The 20,466-nt window shown below is 34.5% G+C and overlaps 1 protein-coding gene across 14 annotated transcripts in view; it reads right to left on the bottom strand.

Annotated features, from left to right (window-relative positions):
• The window catches only part of PARP8 (poly(ADP-ribose) polymerase family member 8), a 180,589-nt gene that overhangs the window by 34,685 nt on the left and 125,438 nt on the right, over positions 1-20,466 (bottom strand). For all 14 annotated transcript variants that reach the window (NM_001178055.2, XM_047417705.1, XM_011543631.4 and 11 more), the window contains 4 exons: positions 17,503-17,628; positions 16,418-16,982; positions 14,803-14,853; positions 14,602-14,697 (listed from right to left, as the gene is read on the bottom strand). In NM_001178055.2, the coding sequence (NP_001171526.1) occupies positions 14,602-14,697; positions 14,803-14,853; positions 16,418-16,982; positions 17,503-17,628 (838 nt within the window). The remainder of the gene's footprint in view (positions 1-14,601; positions 14,698-14,802; positions 14,854-16,417; positions 16,983-17,502; positions 17,629-20,466) is intronic.

Genomic DNA, 20,466 nt, shown 5'->3' with positions numbered 1-20,466 from the left:
GCGTGTTCTCACTCATAGGTGGGAATTGAACAATGAGAACACTTGGACACAGGGTGGGGAACATCACACACCAGGGCTTGTTGCAGGGTGGAGGATGGGGGAGGGATAGCATTAGGAGATATACCTAATGTAGATGATGAGTTAATGGGTGCAGCAAACCAACATGGCACATGTATACATAGGTAACAAACCTGCACTTCGTGCACATGTACTCTAGAACTTAAAGAATAAAAAAAAAACACCCAATGGAAATAAAATGAAATAAAATATCTTACTACGCGAGATTGAAATTTCAGGTAATTTTCAATCCAGGAAAAATTTCAAAGAAAAGGAAAAATGCGATAGACACAGTTATTATAAATCTCTATCAACACACTTTGTCACCAATCCTAGGTATTCATGTGTCATTCTGACTTTGTCGCAAATGATTTTTGGCAATTTCACCGAGACCTCTCTATTTCCTATCACGAATAACAAACAAGCAAAATTTCAGTGCTTATTATAAAGCCTTTTTCTGCATTTCTGTTTCAGTGCCCCCCAACCCTGGTCTGTTTATATTCCAATCTTGAAAGTTCTAAATCAACTTTATTGACTTGTCAACTGACTCATTATTTTAAATAAAACACCTGCATTCCTCAGGATGAAGCTATGATTTGATTACTTTATGGAAACACTTTTCTTTCCTGTATGTTTTTGGTTTAAAAGTAACCCTCTTCCATACTCAAGTGAATAAGGCAGATTTCTAGGTATATTCTGCTACTCCAATAGTTTGAAGAAGGAAATCAGACAGAAATCAGGCACCCTAGAAAATCTGCTTTTTGGAAACAAAAACCAAAACACTTTGCCATCATACTAAAAAACGAGAAGTAAAAGTAAGGAATACGTTCTTATAAAAATAATTTTATCTTTCCTTTTTAACACAGCAACTACAAACGTCATAATGTGATTAATTTATATACCATACACCATACTAAGTAAATGCTAGTAAATTCTTAAAATAATGATTCTGTATCTCTTGCTCATTTTTACTAGAAGGTTCAAGTAGTATTTAAGATGTAAGACGTAAATGACTTTAGTTTTGAGGTGTTTGTATATTTATTTTTTGTAGAGTAGTAATTCTCCCTTTTCCTTGTTTATTCACACTTTATTTCCGAGAAGTTCAAAGTGTTAACACAAGATACTGCACTAAAAGAAAGTTCTCAAATTACATTAAGTGATTAGATGTCTCTCTCGCTCACAGAAGGAACATCTTATTCAAGGAAGAGAAACTGAATCACTCCCTTAAAGACACACAAGTAGTTATATTGTGGGCTAGCCTTATCCTATTCCCACCCAATCCTCCACCCTGACAAATTCTATGACTATGTTATTTACACAGAATGTGCTAGCATCAATTCAAAACGCACATAGTCATTTTAAGAGCTATTACCAGTTAAGTGTATTGCCATGTTTTATTGTACATAATTTAATACAAAGTATGTATGCCTAAATAAAACCAAATGTTATATTACTTATTAATTCATTCTGAGTTCACAAAAAGACTATTAGTCCCAATTTGTAAAATACTACCTATTCTTAATATTATATTATATTGCCTGGAAGCAATTAACCACTCTAATTTAGATTGTAAAACCATAGCAAGTCCCTCTATTATCAACACGTACATATTTGCTATAAAATATTCATTAGGCACGATTTAAAAGCATGAGGAATGTATTTATATATGTCCCTAAAATAAGATATATTTTAGAAGTTTTCAACTAAAATGAAAACATTTTTAACGTTATTTGAATCAAAGCAATTTAAATGTGATCAACAAAAACATGTTTCAAAAAATGTATTAAGCCCTGAAGAATATTTTAGAACCTAATTGTATTTTAAGAAATTTATGTTTTCCATGAATTTAAATTACCCTCTACTGGTAATAGAAATAATACAACTCTAAGAATCTAGCTATGTATTTATGTAGAGAAAAGCATGGTGTAGATGAGTGGTTTTCAAATATTTTTGCCATGGTCTTTTTGTTTCAACAAAAGCATGGTGTAGATGAGTGGTTTTCAAATATTTTTGCCATGGTCTTTTTGTTTCAACAAAATATTTCACATAAGTCCAATATACAAAACAGATAAAAGTGGAGCTTATTCCTGTTGGAGCACATGTGTACAGCTCATTTTTCCTATCTATAAAATGGGAATAAAAATAATATCTAGCTCTCAAGTTGATAAAAATACCAAGTGAGATAAGGTTTAAAAAATATCCTTGAGGTATGGAAAGCTGTTTAAGTATTAATATAAGGGAACCTGGAGAAGCTAGCTCTACTGCCTTAACTCAATGTGTATACAAAGATAAGTATTTAATAAAAAATAGTTTTCTTTGAAGCATATTATGAAGTAGCATTTTGATTTGTATATCCACTGTTTAAAACTATTGCCGTGATTTTTCTTACTAAAAATGAAATAAGCAGAGTAAATATAAATTCCTATTTAAAAACTGGTATTGAAAAAATGCAAGAATAATTATATGAATATCTTCTAGAACTACAAACTTAGAAGCCTTTAATTCTCTGTATTTACAGTTTTATAGTCAATGCTTTGGGTTCTGTTTGTGGTCAAGACACACATTCAGGGTGAGGAAAGGTGTACCGTTCATTGAGAGAGAGAGAATCCCACAGCAATTAAGGCAGATCCACAGTAAGATACAGGATCAGGTCTAATTAGGCTTAAACATGCAGTAGTCTCTATTTGTCTCATAAAACTAAAGATGTTATTTGAGTATTAAAACTAATTTCTATTCAGTTTGGATTTTTTTTTAAACCATGTTTTTGAACTAAAAGTTTTTTGGCATAATTATTATTTTAGTTAGTATTTCAGAAGTTGATATCTGAACTTCCATGTTGAAGGTTAGGGGAGGGTTTTAATAGGTTGTGCTTTTTCATCCATTCTTCAAATATTAAAGTCAGGTCTAAATACAAGCAGACCTACCCGTTTTACTCTTAGAAGGTAAAATGGGACATACCTAGGTTTATCCTCATGCTCAGTTTCTCATCAATTTTCATGGGAATGTCTTTGTGAAAGAAAACAGAATCAAATCTTGGGACTCCCAAACTCACTATGCCAAAGGGAAAGTTAAGTTTGGGAACTGAGTCAGGCCATACTGCTTTCCTTTTGTTCCCAAACGGATAGCTGTAATTTCACAGCTCCGTGTCATAGCCTCACCCATGAGACAGGTTTCCACAACAATAGAAGGTCACACATCTCCCCAGATGGCCTCCCTCACAAGGAAATTCCTTGAAGCCCCTAAATCTTTCAGGAGACATACCCACTGTAAACTAGCCCTAAAACCAAGTTCTGCTGAATCTCATCCTGACAATGTCAATTATTAGCTTATCTTCACAGGGCGAGAGCAAGGACCAAGACCAGAGACATCCTTGTGCCTACCCTGTGATTAATACGTAACTTTTTCCTCTACTCCCTCTTTTCACATATAAAATGTAGATTTACTGAGGCTAATCAGAACCTCATAAGAATGTAACCATTTGCCTCACTGCCTGCCCTTCCTCTTCTTCCCTCCTGCTTGCTCTTTCCCCTTTAAATACTGAAGTTCCCAAAATCCCTTTTGGAAAAGGGTCACAGACGCATTTTTGATCTCCCTGGATCTCCCATCCTCAACCGTGGCTAAATAAATCTTTATCGACTGAGACCTGCCTCAGTCATTTTTTGGTTAACACCTAAAACTGGACCAAATTATAACTGGGTGTTCTTAATTTCACTTGGAAAATAAGAACCTTAGTTACAAACATCTGCTTAATGCCGGATACACAAAAATATAGATTCTCAGGTTTCTCAGTTGGCTTTGCTTCAGTAAGAATGAGCATTACTCTAAGTGGGTGACAGACATGTGCAAACATATTTGGGAATCAGCAGACTGGAATCTCATGCCTTGTCAAACCACTCAGAGCAAGTAACCCAGGACATTTCACATGACAGGAGAAGAGAATGAGATCATAATTCTCATATCACATGTTGATGTGGGAAATGAGAAAGTCTATTAGTCAAGGACACATAGAACGATTGCCAAGTATCAAAGACAGAAGCCCAGCTTTGCAGGAACTGTTATTCACATAACCACATGGTTTTCTCTAGCAGAGTTCAGCAGTTCACACCATTATACCAATCCACGATTGAGGTGATTAAGGTGAGTATAACAGAAAAGGGCATTAGGAATTTAGAGGCTGATAAAACTGGCATTTCTGACAATAAGTCCTTGTTTTATTGTTTTTCAAAAACAACCTGAAGACACAAACTACATTTAAAAACCATCTCTAAAACAATTTGCTGCATTAACACTCTAGTTGATTCCACAATGGAGAGAACTATGCATTTGGTTTTGGTTTGGTTTTGTGATGAGAGTATAAATGACACTTTTAAATTGAAAATCCAGGACTTCCTGAACAATTCTTGGGATGTTAATGTGAGCGTTACGCAGATGCAAAATGTTATGTGTCAGGACTCAAATCTGAGAGTGACATTTATAATTTTTGTAAACAAAAGCGAAGAAGGAGCAGCAGGGAGTTTCTAAGTAAGTAAGTAGTTTAGTTCCCTGTATTGCAGAGAGTGCGACATGCTAACCTAGACCTCTGAATGGAGTGACAGATAGTATAAAAGCAGTGACTAAAATTTTAGGACTTTTGGAGAATAAAGGTTAAAGAGGATTTATGTCATCAAAAAACAATCAGGCTTAAAGAAAAAAAAAAACATGGGACAGTCTAACTTTGGAAAGCGAGATCTAACAAATGCAAATGTAATAAAATAGAATAGGCATAGAATTCTATAGAAACCTGAGTTTTATTTAACCTGTTTAATCACCAGTGGGCTATAACTTACACTCTTTATGTCTCTGAGACTTACTACAGACTGTAATGTGTCAGATGGGCTCAATAATGGTCAATGAATCAGTTAATTGGTTAATATCCCATAAGAAATTATATATTATTTTTATACATTACTCTTGAATTTACAGCAAAATATATTGCAATGTAAATACAAGTAAGATATAGAAAAAAATTAGTGGGACCAACTTAGGTAAAATATCTGTTTCACAGAACCAAGAGATAGTTCTTCCTGTGTCTATCTCTCTTCCTTTCAACATGAAAAGTTTCTTTAATTTTCATTTCCTCATCTGATTTCCTATGTCACTTATCTTACTATTTAAGAACGTTTTCTGATTTCCTTAGGTATCAGTCTGCATCACAGCAACAATAAACCATCTGATAATCATCCGTATTTATTTAGAAAATGTTTTCTCTCTTGCTTATAAAAAAGCACAGCCACTTTTAGAAAAATATAGCAATATTTATTGTTGCAGATATAGATAAAGTCAAACAAAATTTGGAGTGAGACACCAAGAATACTAATAGTAACTAGTATTTCCACTACTTACTATAGGAATGAATTGCCCACAATTAAACCACAAACAGTGAACTCCCAACAATGTGTGTGGTACATTTCCAGAACATAAATGTAGTCAATTCAAGTCCACAAGTCAAGAGTAGGAACCTCTGCCTGGTGCCATTCTGTCAGTATTAGAATCCTATCTCTATTACTTACTAGCACAGTAACACTGAACAAATTACTATTTTTCTCACCATAAAGTGAGAATAGTAATAATATATACCTCAGAGAGTTATTAAGAGGATTACACTTGAAAATCCACATAAAGAACTGTGAATACCCAGATCACAAAGAAAACATGCAAAAAGCATTTACTTTTGATAACATTACTATTATCTTTTGTGGTAGAAATGGCAATGCTATGGAACAAGCAATAGATCAATATCAACAGGTGAGTACTGACAAAGTGAAAACATAGCATCTAAGTGGGGCAGGTTGAGATGACCAGAGAAATCCCCCTATTCTCATAAGGACACATTTCTCTGTAACAAATGGAAATGACAAAATTGCAGTTATTTCATAATTAAATGCTGATTTAGTTGATTTTGGTTTCAGAATAACATATCTCTGAGAGAAAAGTTGACTGGCAAAAAAATAGTACACGGATTGTTTCCCTTAAGCAAATAAAATAAAATATCTGACAGATGATTGTGTTCTTAAATGGCTACAAGACATGTTTTTTAAAAGTATAAATCTTGAAATACAAAAAAGGTCTAATAAAATTATTGCTTTCCAAGTTTTGTGTTTTATCTTTTCAAACATATATTCCAAAAGGCAAGACAGGTTTCTTTTAAAAAGTGTAACAGAATCTAGCATGGTGCCTTCTACTTATCAAATATTAAATTAAATGTTTGTGATGCAGTTTTAAAGTCAGAGAGAATTAGGTTCAAAGCCAAACTTCTACCTATATTTTCCGGGTGGTGTTGAACAAACTGCTTAACCTCTATAAATCTTAGTCTCCCTATTTGCAGCATGAAAGCAAAAGTACCTAAACCACAAGAGTTGTGTGATGATCAAATAAAAAAATAATAGGCCAAATATCTACCCACAGTGCCTGGCACACAACCCTCAATAACCTCCTTTCTTCTGTTAACTATGATAGATATTAGCTCAATCATTATTTTCATATTTATCTATATTTTATTATTTCTTAACTCAAAAGCTGGACCTTGAATACTATGCAGATATGGTACAATGAACTTGCTTGTTTAAAACTTTGAAATAAGGAATGATATCAGCAAAAAAGCTGAGTGAGGAACCCAAACTTCCACCTCTCTATAAAATCTTTAAAAGAAACTGGCAAAAATGGCCTGAGTCAACTCTTTTGGTATTCTGGAAATTAATTTTAAAACTTGCAGCAACCCAAGGAGTACTTACTCAGAATCAACAGCTGAATCTTGGTAAGAACCGTAAAACTTGTGACATTTAACCTTCTTTCCATTTTGGAAAAAAAAAAGAAAAGCTGCAGCTTGTTGTCAGCACTTATTTAACTCTACGTAAACGCACTCTTTGAGGCTGAAGCAAATCTGATTTTCAATCAATGTGAAAATAAAATATAAAAACTGTTCTCGGAGCTATTTCTAAACAGAACTAACATCAGAATCGTCTGAATCATTAGAATCCTCTATTTCTGAAAAATCAGATTCATCAAATGAATCTTCAGTCAACCGCTGTTCTAGAACAATGTTAACATTACGCGTACAAATGCTGTATTTTCTAGGATTTGACAAGTTCAGTGATCAGGAATTACTACTATATTTTGTAAATGGAAATACCACTACTAAAACCAAAATGCTATAAGTAGAATGATGTATTTTGTTTCCAAAGTAGATATACTAGAGCCATGCAGAAATAATAATATAAGCGACAGATTTCATGGCAAAGTTATCTCCGGGTAAACACTGTAGCCGCAAGTGCTACTGGCAAGTATTGTTGGGGCAAATGGGAAAAGGGTTAAATTTACCCTAATCCAATCTTCCATTCGCCAGCTCAGTGGCAGCCTTAAAAACAATGCCCTGTATTTCCAATAATAGAGGGAGCAGAACGGAACTGATTCACAAATAGCTGTCTGATAGTTCTCTGGAAGACACGCTGAAAACACTTGTCTTTATTTCTGCCTGACTTGGAACTCACCCAGTACTAAACCATTACCTGGAGTGGGGATTGAAAACATTTACAGTAAGCGTTTTAGTTGTGTGAGGCAACAGATAACAACTGAGGCAAACAACAGAATAATCAAAAAGCTTAGAAGAAAGGATTGGGAAAAGAGATGTCCATAAGGACTATGAAAAACTCACATATATTTCTGGAAATCCAGAAGGCCATGTGCTTGCCCATGACTGTGTGCATGCTCAAGAAAGACTTTAGAAGGCCTTAAATCTCACCTCTGGCTGATCTTACCACTCTGTACAAGCAGGAATGAAGGCTAAGGACTGCCAAAACAGTTTGGCGAGATCTAAATCCCAGAGTTCCAGCATTATTGTATTTAAAATGTCCAGTTTTCAATAAAAAAATAAAAAAGGCATGCGAAGAAATAAGAAAGTAAGACCTATTCACAGGGTAAAAAGCAACTAATAGGAAGGGGCCCAAGGAAAGCATAGATGTTAAATTTACTAGACACAAACTTTAAACTGGCTATACTTAAAACGTTCAAGAGCTAAAGAATATCATATCTAAATAAATGAAGAAAAGACAATGTCAACAGAGAGTATCAATTTATAGAATTTATAAAAATAAACTCTGGAGTTGAAAAGTACAATTACTGAAATAAAAAATCAGATTTGAGCAGGCAGAAAAAAGAATCAGTGAACTTGAAGATAGGTCCATTGAGATTAACTAATCTAAGGAAGAGGAAGAATAATAAAATGAAAAAAATGAACAAAGTGTAAGAGATCTATGGGGTACCATCAAGCATACAAACATACAGATAATGGAAATTCCAGAAGGAAAGAGGAGAGAAAAATTGCAAGAGGAATACTTGAATATATATGGCTTAAAACATCTCAAATTCATTAGAAAAAAATTAATCTACACTTCCAAGAAACCCAATTAACTCCAAATAGGATAAATTTAAAGAGGCACTTAGACACATCAAAATCCAGACGCCAAAAACCAAAGACAAAGAAGAAATCTCGAAATCAGCGAGAGAAGCAATTCATCACATAACAAGGAATCCTCAACAAGAAAACAGGTCATTTTTCATGGGAAACCACAAATACCCAAAGGCAGCAGGATGACATACTCAAAATGCTGAAAACGGCACAAATCCTCCTCCATCACACACAGAAATTTCCAACCATGAATTCTATACCCAGCATAACTATCCTTCAAACAATAAAGGAGAAATTAAAACACTCCCAGGTAAAAACCAACAGAGTTCATCATTTGCAGAGATTTCCCACAGGAATTAATGAAGGGAGTTCTTCAGATTAAAATGGAAAGGACACTACATAGTCCACATAAAGAGATAAAGAGCTTGGGTAAAGGTAAACATGCATACAGGTAAATACAAAGGACTGCACACAAATATATATATTTTTAAATTTTAAACATAGATATAATACATTGATACATTTGACTTTGATTTTTTTTCCTGATTTTTTCTGGTTTGGAAAACAACTGCGTAAAGCAATAATCATAAATTTATGTTGATGGGCACATAATATAAAGATATAACTTACATATTTATATATAACAGCAATTACACGTACTTCCACTCTGGGAGTGGAGTTGAAACTATGTAGGAGCAAAGTTTTTATATATTATTAAGGCTGGGTACAGTGGCTCATGCCTATAATCTCAGTACTTCGGGAGAAGGGAGAATCATTTGAGGCCAGGACTTCAAGACTAGCCTGCTCAACATAGTGAAACCCCATCTCTACAAAAAACTTTTTTAAAGATTAGCCAGGCATAGTGGCTTGTGCCTGCAGTCCTGGTTACTTGCGAGGGTGATGCAAGCAGGAAGATCACTTAAGCCCAGAAGTTGGAGGCTTCAGTGAGCTATGATCAGCACCACTGTACTCCGGTCTAGAGGACAGAGCAAGATCTGTCTCTTATTAAAAAAAAATCAAGTTGGTATTAATCCAAACTAGATTTTTAGAAATTAGAATGTTAATTGTAATCCCTAGAGCAATCACTAAGAAAACAAACTGAAAAGCTACAACATGGGAATTAAAATGGTACACTAGAAAATGCCTATTAAACACACAAAAGAAGGCAGTAAGGGAGAAGCAGAGGAACAAAATAGACATAATACAAATAGAAAATGAATTGCAAAATAGCAGAAGTCTTTCCTTATTAGTAATTATGTTTAAGTAAAAAGATTAGCAAGGATTTAAAACCAAGATCAACAATTTGCTATCAACAAGAGATTCACTTTAGTTTTAAAGACATTAATAGGATAAAAACATAAGCATGAAAAAAGATATTCCATGCAAATAATAACCAATAGAGAGCTGCAGTGGTTACACTAATCAGACAAAATAGACTTGAAGACAAAAATTGCTATTACAGACAAAGAAGAACATGAAAAAAGAGTCAGAACATCAAGAAGATAAAACACTTATAAACATATACGTATCCAGCAACAGATTTCCCAAAATACATGAATCAAATATTGAAAGAACTGAAGGTAAAAACAATTCAACAATAATAGTCAGAGCCTTCAATACCCCCACTTTCATAATGGTAACAAAGAATAAATGAATTTGAAAGAGAAAATAGAGAAATTCAATGAAATGAAGAATCTGTTCTTTGAAAAGGTAACTAAAATCCACAAGCCTGTAGCAGGACTGACAGAGAGATGATACAAATGTTCAACATCAGGAATGAAACAAAGAGTATCACTAAAACTCTGCAGACATCAAAAGGATAATAAGAGAATACTAATAAATTACTCACATAAATTTGACATCTGAGACAAAACGGACCAATTCCTCTAAAAGCACAAACTATCACATTTCACCCAAAATAAAATAGATAATTTGAGGCCTAGCATGGTGGCTCACGCCTGTAATCCCATCACTTTGGAAGGCCGAGGTGGGCGGATCACCTGAGGTCAGGAGTTTGAGACCAGACTGACCAACACGAAGAAACCCCGTCTCTAATAAAAACACAAAATTAGCCGGGTGTGGTGGTGCATGCCTGTAATCCCAGCTACTCGGAGGCTGAGGCAGGAGAATCACTTGAACCCGGGAGGCAGAGGTTGCAGTGAGCCGAGATCATGCCAGGGCAACAAAAGCAAAACTCCATCTCAAAAATATATATATATATAATTTGGATAGCCCTATAACTAATAAAGAAATTGAATTCATAAATTAAAAATTTTTCACCAGGTGTGATGGCTCACACCTGTAATCCTAACACTTTGAGAGGCTAAGGCAGGAGGATTCCTTGAGCCCAGGAGTTCAAGACCAGCCTTGGCAACATGGTGACACCCCATTTCTACAAAAAATTTTAAAAATTAGCTGGGCATGGTGGCATGTACCTGTAGTCCCAGCTACTCAGGAGGCTGAGGTGGGAGGATCACTTAAGCCCAGAAGGTTGAGGTTGCAGTGAGCCATGTTTGCACCACTGCACTCCAACATGAGTGACAGAGTAAGACCCCTGTTTCAAAAAAAAAAAAAAAAATCTAAAACAGAAATCTCCAGGCCCAGATAGTTGTTAGTGCATATCAAAAAATCAGTGTAATACATCATATTAATAGCATAAAAGAAAAACATAGTAATATCAAGAGACATAGAAAAACAAAAACCAACAAAAATGCTTTCATGATTATAAAACCACCTAACAACTAGGACTAGAAGGGGATTTTTCTCAACCTGGTAAGTGGCATCTATGAAAAATCCCCAACAAACAGTGAAAGGCTGAACATTTTCCCCCTAAATCACAAGATAAAAATTTCTTTTCTTGCCACTTCTAATCAGTCTTGTATTGAAGTTCTAGTCAAGCACATTAGATAAGGAAAAGTAATAAAAGGCATCCTGATTAACAAGGAAAAAGTGAAACTCTATTTGCAAGAGACATAATTTTATATAGAGAAACAAAGAATCCAAAAATAACTTAATAGAGCTAACAAATAAGTTCAGCAATGTTGCAGTATAAAAGATTAACATGCAAAAATAACTTCTATTTCTATATAATAGCAAAGAACGTTCTGAAAATGGAATAAAGCAACTTAATTTACAGTAACATCAAAAATAATAAAATGCTTAAAAACAAACTTATCCAAGGAAGTGTAAGACTTGAATGCTGAAAACTACAAAATAGCATTGAAATAAAATTTTAAAAGCCTAAATAAATAAAATGATCTGGTGTACATGAATTGGAAAGGTTAATATTGTTAAGATGATGTCTTGGTCTATTCCGGCTGCTGTAATCGAATACCATAGGCTGGGTGGCTTATAACAACAAATATTTATTTCTCACAGTTTTGAAGGCTGGGAAGATAAAGATGTCAGGAGATTCAGTGCCTGATGAGGGCCCATCTGCTGATTCATAGACCAGAGTGACAGTAAGGCCACAAATTGATCTTCTTGCTGTGTCCTTTCATGGTAGAGGAGTGAGAGAGCTCTTTGTGCTCTATTACAAAGGCACTATTCCTGTTCATGAGGGCACCACCCTCATGACCTAATCGCCTTCCAAACAACCCATCTCCTAACACCATCACATGGGAGTTAGGATTTCAATGTATGAATTCTGGGAGGAACACATCCAGTCTATAGCCAATGGCAACAGTCTTCAAACCGATTTACAATTCCAATGCAACCCTATCAAAATTCCAACTGCCTTTTTGCAGAAATGGACAAATGAACCACAGAACTGATAGAGAAACGCAAGAGACCCCAAACAGTCAATGCAATCTTATAAAACACAAACAAAGGATTTCTGCCTCTTGATTTCAAACTTACTATAAAGCAACATTAATCAAGACAATGTGGTACTGGCCTAAGGACAGACATGCAGATCAGTGGAAAAAGACTTGAGAGTCCAGAAATAAACCAAAACATCTATAGTCAAATAATTTTCAACGAGGGTGCCAAGATCATTCAGTAGAGAAAAAATAGTCTTTTCAAAGAATGGTGCTGAGACAACTGGGTATCTACATGCAAAAGAATGACTTTGGACCCCAACCTAACACCATATACAAAAATTAACTCAAAAAGTATTGTGACTTAAATGTAAGACATAAATCGTGAAATTCTTAGAGGGAAACATAAGTGCACTGTGTGACTTTGAATTAGGCAATTACTTTTTAGACGCAACATCAAAAACACAAGTAACAAAAGAAAAAATTGATAAATAAGACTTCATCAAAATTAAAAACTTGTGTGTGTCAAAGATTACCTTTAAAAAATGAAATGACAAACTACAAAATAGAAGAAAATAATTGCAAATCATATATGTGGTAAAGATAAAGTATTCAGAATACATAAAGAACTCTTACAACTCATGAATAAGAATACAAATAACCCAATTTAAAAATATGAAAAGGATTTAAATAGGCATTTCTCCAAAGACATGCAAATGGCCAATAAGCACATGAAAAGATGCTCAAAATTTTTTAGCAGAAAATCAAAATATTTTAGTATCTTTTAGTCAGTCATCAGGGAAGTGCATAAGAAAACCACAATAAGAAACTGCTTCGGCCGGGTGCGGTGGCTCAGGCCAGGCGCGGTGGTTCACGCCTGTAATTCCAACACTTTGGGAGGCCGAGGCTGGTGAATCACAAGGTCAGGAGATCGAGACCATCCTGGCCAACACAGTGAAACCCTGTCTCTACTAAAAAAATACAAAAAATCAGCCGGGCGTGGTGGCGGGTGCCTGTAGTCCCAGCTACTAGGGAGGCTGAGGCAGGAGAATGGCATGAACCCAGAAGGCGGAGCTTGCAGTGAGCCGAGATCGTGCCACTGCACTCCAGCCTGGGTGACAGAGCGAGACTCTGTCTCAAAAAAAAAAAAAACAAAAAAAATAGAAACCGCTTCACACATACTAGCATGGCTATAATTATTAAAAATAATAATAAATAGAGAATAATACGTGGGGAAGATGTATAGAGACTGTATCTGTCATACATTGCCAGTGGAAATGTAAAATTATGCAGCCACTGTTGAAACAGGTTTGGCTGTTCCTCAAAAAGTTAAACAGAGTTAACATATGTTCTAGCAATTCCATCGACTGATGACTGGATAAACAAATGTGGTATATGCATAAAATGTATATTATTCTGCCATAAAAAGAAATAAAAGTACTGACATATGCTATATGGATGGTCCTTGAAAACATTATAATAAGTGAAAGAAGTCAGAAACAAAAGCCCACATACTGTACAATTCCATTCATATCAAATATCCAGAATGACCAAATCCATAGAAACAGAAAACAGTTTCATAATTGCCAGGGGATGACAGGAGGCGGAAATTGGGAGTGACTGGTAACAGAATATTTCTTTTGGGGATAATGGAAATTCCATTTTCTGGAATTAAATAGCTGTAATGGTTATATAATATTGTGAATATATGAAAAACCACTGAATTGTATACTTTAAGTAGTGACTTATAAGTTATATTTTAGCAATAAAAATTCCAAAAAAAATCATTTTAAAATTGAATCGTTCTCTCCAAAATGCACGTATACACTGATTCTTATTTTCATACTCCTTTGATAATATCCCAAATGTGTCAGGATGCTAGCATCTTTGGAAATCTTTATTGGGATCCTCTCTCTACTACTGTGTACCTCTTTTAACTAGCATAGGATCAAGACTCTCCTCTCACATATTCAGCATCTTAAATTGTGGAGTTTTGAAGGGACACTGCCTAAGCATCCTTGTCACATAACCTTGTAAACACTGGTTCTTCAAAATTCCACAATTTAAGATGCTTAACGTTGATATAGGTGTAGATGGATAAATAGCTGTTAGATAAACATATGTAAAAAATATAATAAGAAACATTTTCCTAATATCAAACTAACTGCTCTTTCACAGGCTACTTTAGAAGTAATACTATTTTGTCAAAATTATATGTAAATAATTTGCTCAATAAAGAGTATTTGCTTTCAACTGCATTTATTTACTTATTTTTATATTTCAAATCTTTTCTATATTTCTATATTCTAAACCAACACGGACATTCTATCAGCAAGAACTTACCCTAAGCATAGGGCCATTTTGAAACACATGTGGCTCATCACAAACCACACAATATTCATTTAATACAGGGATCCGCTGTTCAGCAAACTCAATTGTCTGAATAAAACAGTAAGGAAAAATAATTAAGACAAGCTCATAAATGATTTAAAAACCCCGTAAGAACTAAAATATTTGTACAATGGATAGAGTTTTGGCTCATACCTGCACCAGGAAGCCACGGTCTCGTACTGGAATGCATTTTGCACCATTTGGCTATAAAAAGCAAAGTAAAAAAAAATGATAATTTTTTTAAATGTAAAAATGTATAAATTACAGGCTTTTACTCTTTGCAATAGTGAATACGAAAGTGATTTAAGATCACATGAAATATGAATTGAGTCACTGATGACATCAAAATTAAAAACTTTTTTATTCACTCTATTATAAATACCCTTTCTACCATTACTAATGCAATTTTTGCCTACAGTAAATGAACAGCACTCTTAGCTGCTGATCTTCTAGCAAAAATTACTGGCATCTTTACATGATCACAAAAACTCATTTGTCTGTTACTAATCAGCAAATGCTCATACCTCTTCATTAGGAGACTTCAGTCTTATTTTACAATCAGATACAATTATTCCTCCAAAGAAATATTAGACAGCTACTGAAAGTGTCATAACAGAAAACTATGAATTATGCTTAGCCATATCAGAGGTTATTAAGGCATTTTCTTTTACAGAATGTCTGAAATGATCTTTCTTGGATGAAGCTAACATGGGAAACATTCCACTGTGCAGTTGTTCTACATTATTTGCTCTATGTCCTTAAAACGTATGTTTGAGTAGGAATGGGCTTCTAGGATGCTCATGTGAAATTGTCAACATACTCAACTTTTCAGATAATAAATATACAGTATAGTTTATAATTTAATTTTAGAAATAAACCTATATAAGAATAACATTACTTTCCTGAAACATCTTATTTTTTTCAATTTCATCTCTTGCTGAGTGTTTACACATTAATGGTTAGAGCTAAACACACACCCCCAACATACACACATATATATTTAGCAAAAGGAAACAAAACTTTTCATCAACTATTTTGAATATGTTAATAATATACATAAGATAGGTCTATGAATTTATCACTAGCATGAACTTGGCTATCATGCCAATCATGCTAGCGATAAATTTTGTGTAAGAGTTACTCTTGATAAATAGCATCAAAAGGACTTAAATTATTGAAGTCATCTTCTGGTCCCATGTCCCCCAAAAACGGCTACAGCATAAAGTGACTTCAGTATAAAATGGACACTAAGAACAACTTTAAGTGAGGCTCTGGGATAAAGTGGTAAATGTTGCCTCTCTCCACAGGTAAAAACATGCATGGGCAGAGTGCTCTTATATATAATTGAAAGGGAATTATTCTCAATTTAACCACAAGAAAAATGTGGTCCTCCACCACTCATGTGAGAAGACCAGAGATTAGATACACCTACTTAATGAAACATTAAAATTATATGCTTATTTAATAAGTAAGGGCTTTGTGAATCCAATGCGTTTCCTTCTGATTTTAGTAGCATTTGTTACTATGACAAGAATTTGAACTGGACTTCAAATGAATAGCTACATTTATTTTTTTTCAGAACCAAAGCTTACATTTCATTGCCAGTTGCAAATGTATGGGATGCAAAACAATATCCAAAAAGATTTTAAAAAAACAGTAAATTAAAACAAAGTTTTGCTTCTTTTCTCCACCAGATCTTATAAGAAAAAAAAAATTCTACTGCACCTTAGCTAACATTTAAGAACTCAAGATGAAAATATTTACGCACAGCAAGCTGAGAAGATGAAGATGAAGATGGTGTTAGGATACCAATAAGCCCTGAGGTAAGAGAGAGCCTCCTGCCCTCTGCGTTAGGTTCCTTGAAAAGCTCAGTTTTGGATGACTTGGGGGCACTGGAGTAGGACTTGCTGAGCAATTTGTGATTTTTCAGTCCATATAATTCTTCCATTCTGAGATTACTAGAGTAAGACCTGCTTAACAGTTTATGGGGCTTCAAGTTTGTGTTGTGCTCACATCGTGGATCTCCAGAACAAGATCGAGTCAATAGTCTATGCGACTTTAGAGTTAGGCATTCCTCTGACTTAACAGCTGCAGGGCAAGGACGGTTCAAAAGTTTGTGCGATTTAATTGCTGTCATAGCCTGCTCCGCCCTGGGATCGCTGGACAAGGAGCGGCCAAAGGTCCTGTGTGACTTTGTGACACACACATCATCAGTCTTGACTGTGCTGGAACAAGTCCTCCGCAGCAGCTTATGCGTTTTGGAGATTCCGTCCTGCTCAGATTTCAGTTTGGATTTGCTTTTGCCACAACCAGGGGGAGGATAACTTGGCGACCTTCAAAATTGAACAACAATTACTACAGGGCAAATCACAGGTACATCAGACCATGAAGAAAGCTTGTCATGCTCAAACTCGACTGTGCTAATAAATATTCTACCACCTCATTTTAATATAGCCTACCCAGTCAAAACTGAAATCAAAGGTATGTGCAGAATGATCACAGGACTTGAATCCCATTTTTCCTGAAAAGCAAAAAAAAGGTTCTAAGATTTTTTTTCCCTCCTATCTATCCCAAAGCCCTATAATGAAACTAATTTTGGTAGGAAAAACTCTAGGTGATTAGAAAGCAAAGAATGTAATTTTAGCAAATGTAACCAATGTTAAATAAATATTAATAAAAACTCTAAACATAGAAATGAATATGTTTTTGATGGAATGCATCTAACTCAGTCTTTTCTTAGAGGTTATAAAGAAAATAAACAGATGCCAACACTATAGAAAGAATGCTGTAAGCATGAACTACATCACACACTCAGCATTCAGTAAGACAATGACGAAGTTGCCTGTTACCAACCTGCGCAAAGTAGAAAATAAATGCAGGGGAGACTTCACTTTCTTCTCTGACAACTTTTTATTGTGCAGGCAATTGGATTTTTCTTTGCTCTGTTTCCACTGCTGTGTAACAAATGTCTGCATGATTCTGTCAATCCAAAGGTAATTCTGTTATCACCATTCCAAGGCAATTTCAATTAATGTTACTGTATTTATTATGTAGAAAATGCATTTATCAAATAAATGCAAACACATAGAAATCAGTGAGACGCTAATTTAGAATCATACAAGATTTTTCATATGTAGGAAAGCATCATATAGCAAATTAGCAGAGCTTTACTGTGACTGGTTATATCACAGTAAATGATAATGATTACTATTTATTTAAATAATTAAATTACAATATTACCAGGATATGATAATTCAAATGATAGAAGAATAAAGATATAAAGAGAATTATAAAGACGGCCTTCAGGATCAACAACTTGAGCTGAAGTGGCAAAAAAATCTAAATTTTTTTTGGTGCTAGAAAATCAACTTTTAAGAAAATTTTTGTTACTAATTATAATGCTATTTATTAAGATAGAAGTAAAGCCATTTTCTTTTTACTTGACTTGCTTCGATATCTTCTTCATGAAAAGGAAAGCAAAGCTATAAAATCATACATAAAAAGAAAACACGCAGAACTGGCTCTACGTAGAAATATGTGGTCAGCAAATTATATCTTCAACACAGCCTATTCACCTTTGAAGATACTATACTAAATTTTAAAAACTGGGTATCCTTAAGTTTGTTTAGTTAATATCATAAGGCAGAATGTTGGTAACTCCTAATGTCGATATTTTCTATGTCAAAATCACTCCATCAGTGCTTTATGGTAAAGAATTCTGGAATGCCAACTGTGGACTTGGACACAGTGTTCTTATTTGGGAAAGGTCTTTGGCTTGGATGGCTTCTCTGTATCTCCATTTTCCACATGGCAGTGGCCCTCAACACTAATACTTAAGTAGACATGAAATTTTACAATTAAACATCAAGCATGCAATAAATTAAATGTGTTTCTTTTTCTTCAAAAATAACTTCAGGATTGTCTGTTTTTCACGCTCTTTTCAGTTATTTCTAACACATTGCTTTGGGATCAGGAAAATGATACCAATATTTGTTTCCCACTTACAATATGTCACAGAGTAAAACAGAAATGTTATATGCACATTTTTGCCTCTAATTTTCAGAGTACCGCAGCAAGTAGCTGTTATTCCACACATTTCACAAATAAGAGAACGAAATCTGCCCAAGTTAGCATAGATACAAGTGACAGAGTAGTAGTACGTATATTATCAAATATGGGTTTTGATATGTATAACACATGCTATTCAAAAGGGACAGATGTGACTCTTAGCACAACGCCAGTTACTAAGTTCTCAGGATCCTTCAGGTCTTAACAAACTAACTCAGATCGCCAGAAAGTATATCACTTAGGCTTTTTTCTGCTAGTTTTGATAAATTCAGAAGAATAAACAGTTACATACTCAATTATTTTGGGGCCCTTTTAGCAGTGGAAGTGGTGAGAAAAGGGGAATAAAACTTCAATAAGTGATGCCATGATTCCAAATTCACAGTAAATTCGCTCAGTCAGCACGAGAAACATTTTATTCATGTTTGAATTTTTTTTTACCCAAAATTTCAGCAGGATTTAAATGTAATAATAAGATCATCATTTCTCCCTGTACCTAATTTGAAATTTCCACTGACACAACCCTTTGTATTAAGCAGATTTTCTTCCCATAAAAAATTGCTACTCCTGTGCACCATTCTTTAAGAAAGACGGCAAGTGCTTGCCTAATCTTGATAAGCTAAGAGGAACAAAAAAAAAAACAGGTCAAAATGGCTAAAAATTTTCCCACTTATATATTACATTAGGATTCAAAGTGTGATTCAACATCTAAAATCAGTAATTCTTAAACTTGAATACCCAGGTACCTAGTTGTCCTTGGATGCAAAAGAAATTGTTTTCTAAAAGACATTCAATGTTGTGTTTAATTTCAGGGGTAATCTGGAGTATACATATGAACACATTTGGTATAACAACCACCTCCTTATAATAGAGAACCATGAAGGGACTTCAGTATTTACATTTGAGTTTGTGTTTACTATTGTGCTGGCACCAAAAGGAACTACTACCATTGCCAGTGATTGGCTGATGGTAGGGAAAAAAAGAAAAAAATTTCAAGGTAAAGTATACATTTGCATCGCGTCAAGAGCAGATGATATCACGGCCAACTATGTGAACAAAGGTTCCAGGGCAGTGGACAAAAGCAAGTACATAGGGATGACATCACACTGTTTTACATGTTGATTTCAAAAAACTATGCACTAGAGCAGTCAGTATTATATTCTAATTGTGGTGGTGAAACAGCTTTAGCAAAATAATATCATAAACCAAGTTAATGGTATTAATTTGAATTTCAAGTATTTTATTTTGATTCGCACTTTTAAGTTGTAAATTGAATTTCGTTTTACAAATGTGGAGCTCTACATACAAAAAATTTATACCTAATTTTATGTTACACATAAATTTAAGGGAAAACTGAAGATCTGCAATATTTTCCCCCCTTAAACACAACTAAGGTTTGATCAGTGCAGACTCAACATAAAGTCATACAAAAGTCGAAGATTATTTCCATTGTCTGTGATATGCTGAGCCTTTGAATGATAGGATACCCTATACAAGACCAATCACTATATCTGTGATATCTGTGTCAGGTCAGCCATGAGAAAATACATAAATATTTTTTCTTTTAGGCTATTTTGACTTCACATTCTCTCAATATTCATTCAATGCCAAACACATATTCCATGTCTCATCTCAAGCAAAGGAATATCTAGGATTATATGAGAGGCAGATTAGTTTATGCGTTGTAAGTACTGATTTGGAGTCAAATTCTGACTCTATCACTTTCTCGCTGTGTGACTGTGAACAAGCTGC

The sequence above is a fragment of the Homo sapiens genome, chromosome 5 (assembly GCF_000001405.40).
Source record: "Homo sapiens chromosome 5, GRCh38.p14 Primary Assembly".
Taxonomy (NCBI): Eukaryota; Metazoa; Chordata; class Mammalia; order Primates; family Hominidae; genus Homo; species Homo sapiens.
The sequence above is the reverse complement of the archived record's forward strand: the minus strand, read 5'-3'. Positions and strand labels throughout refer to the sequence as shown.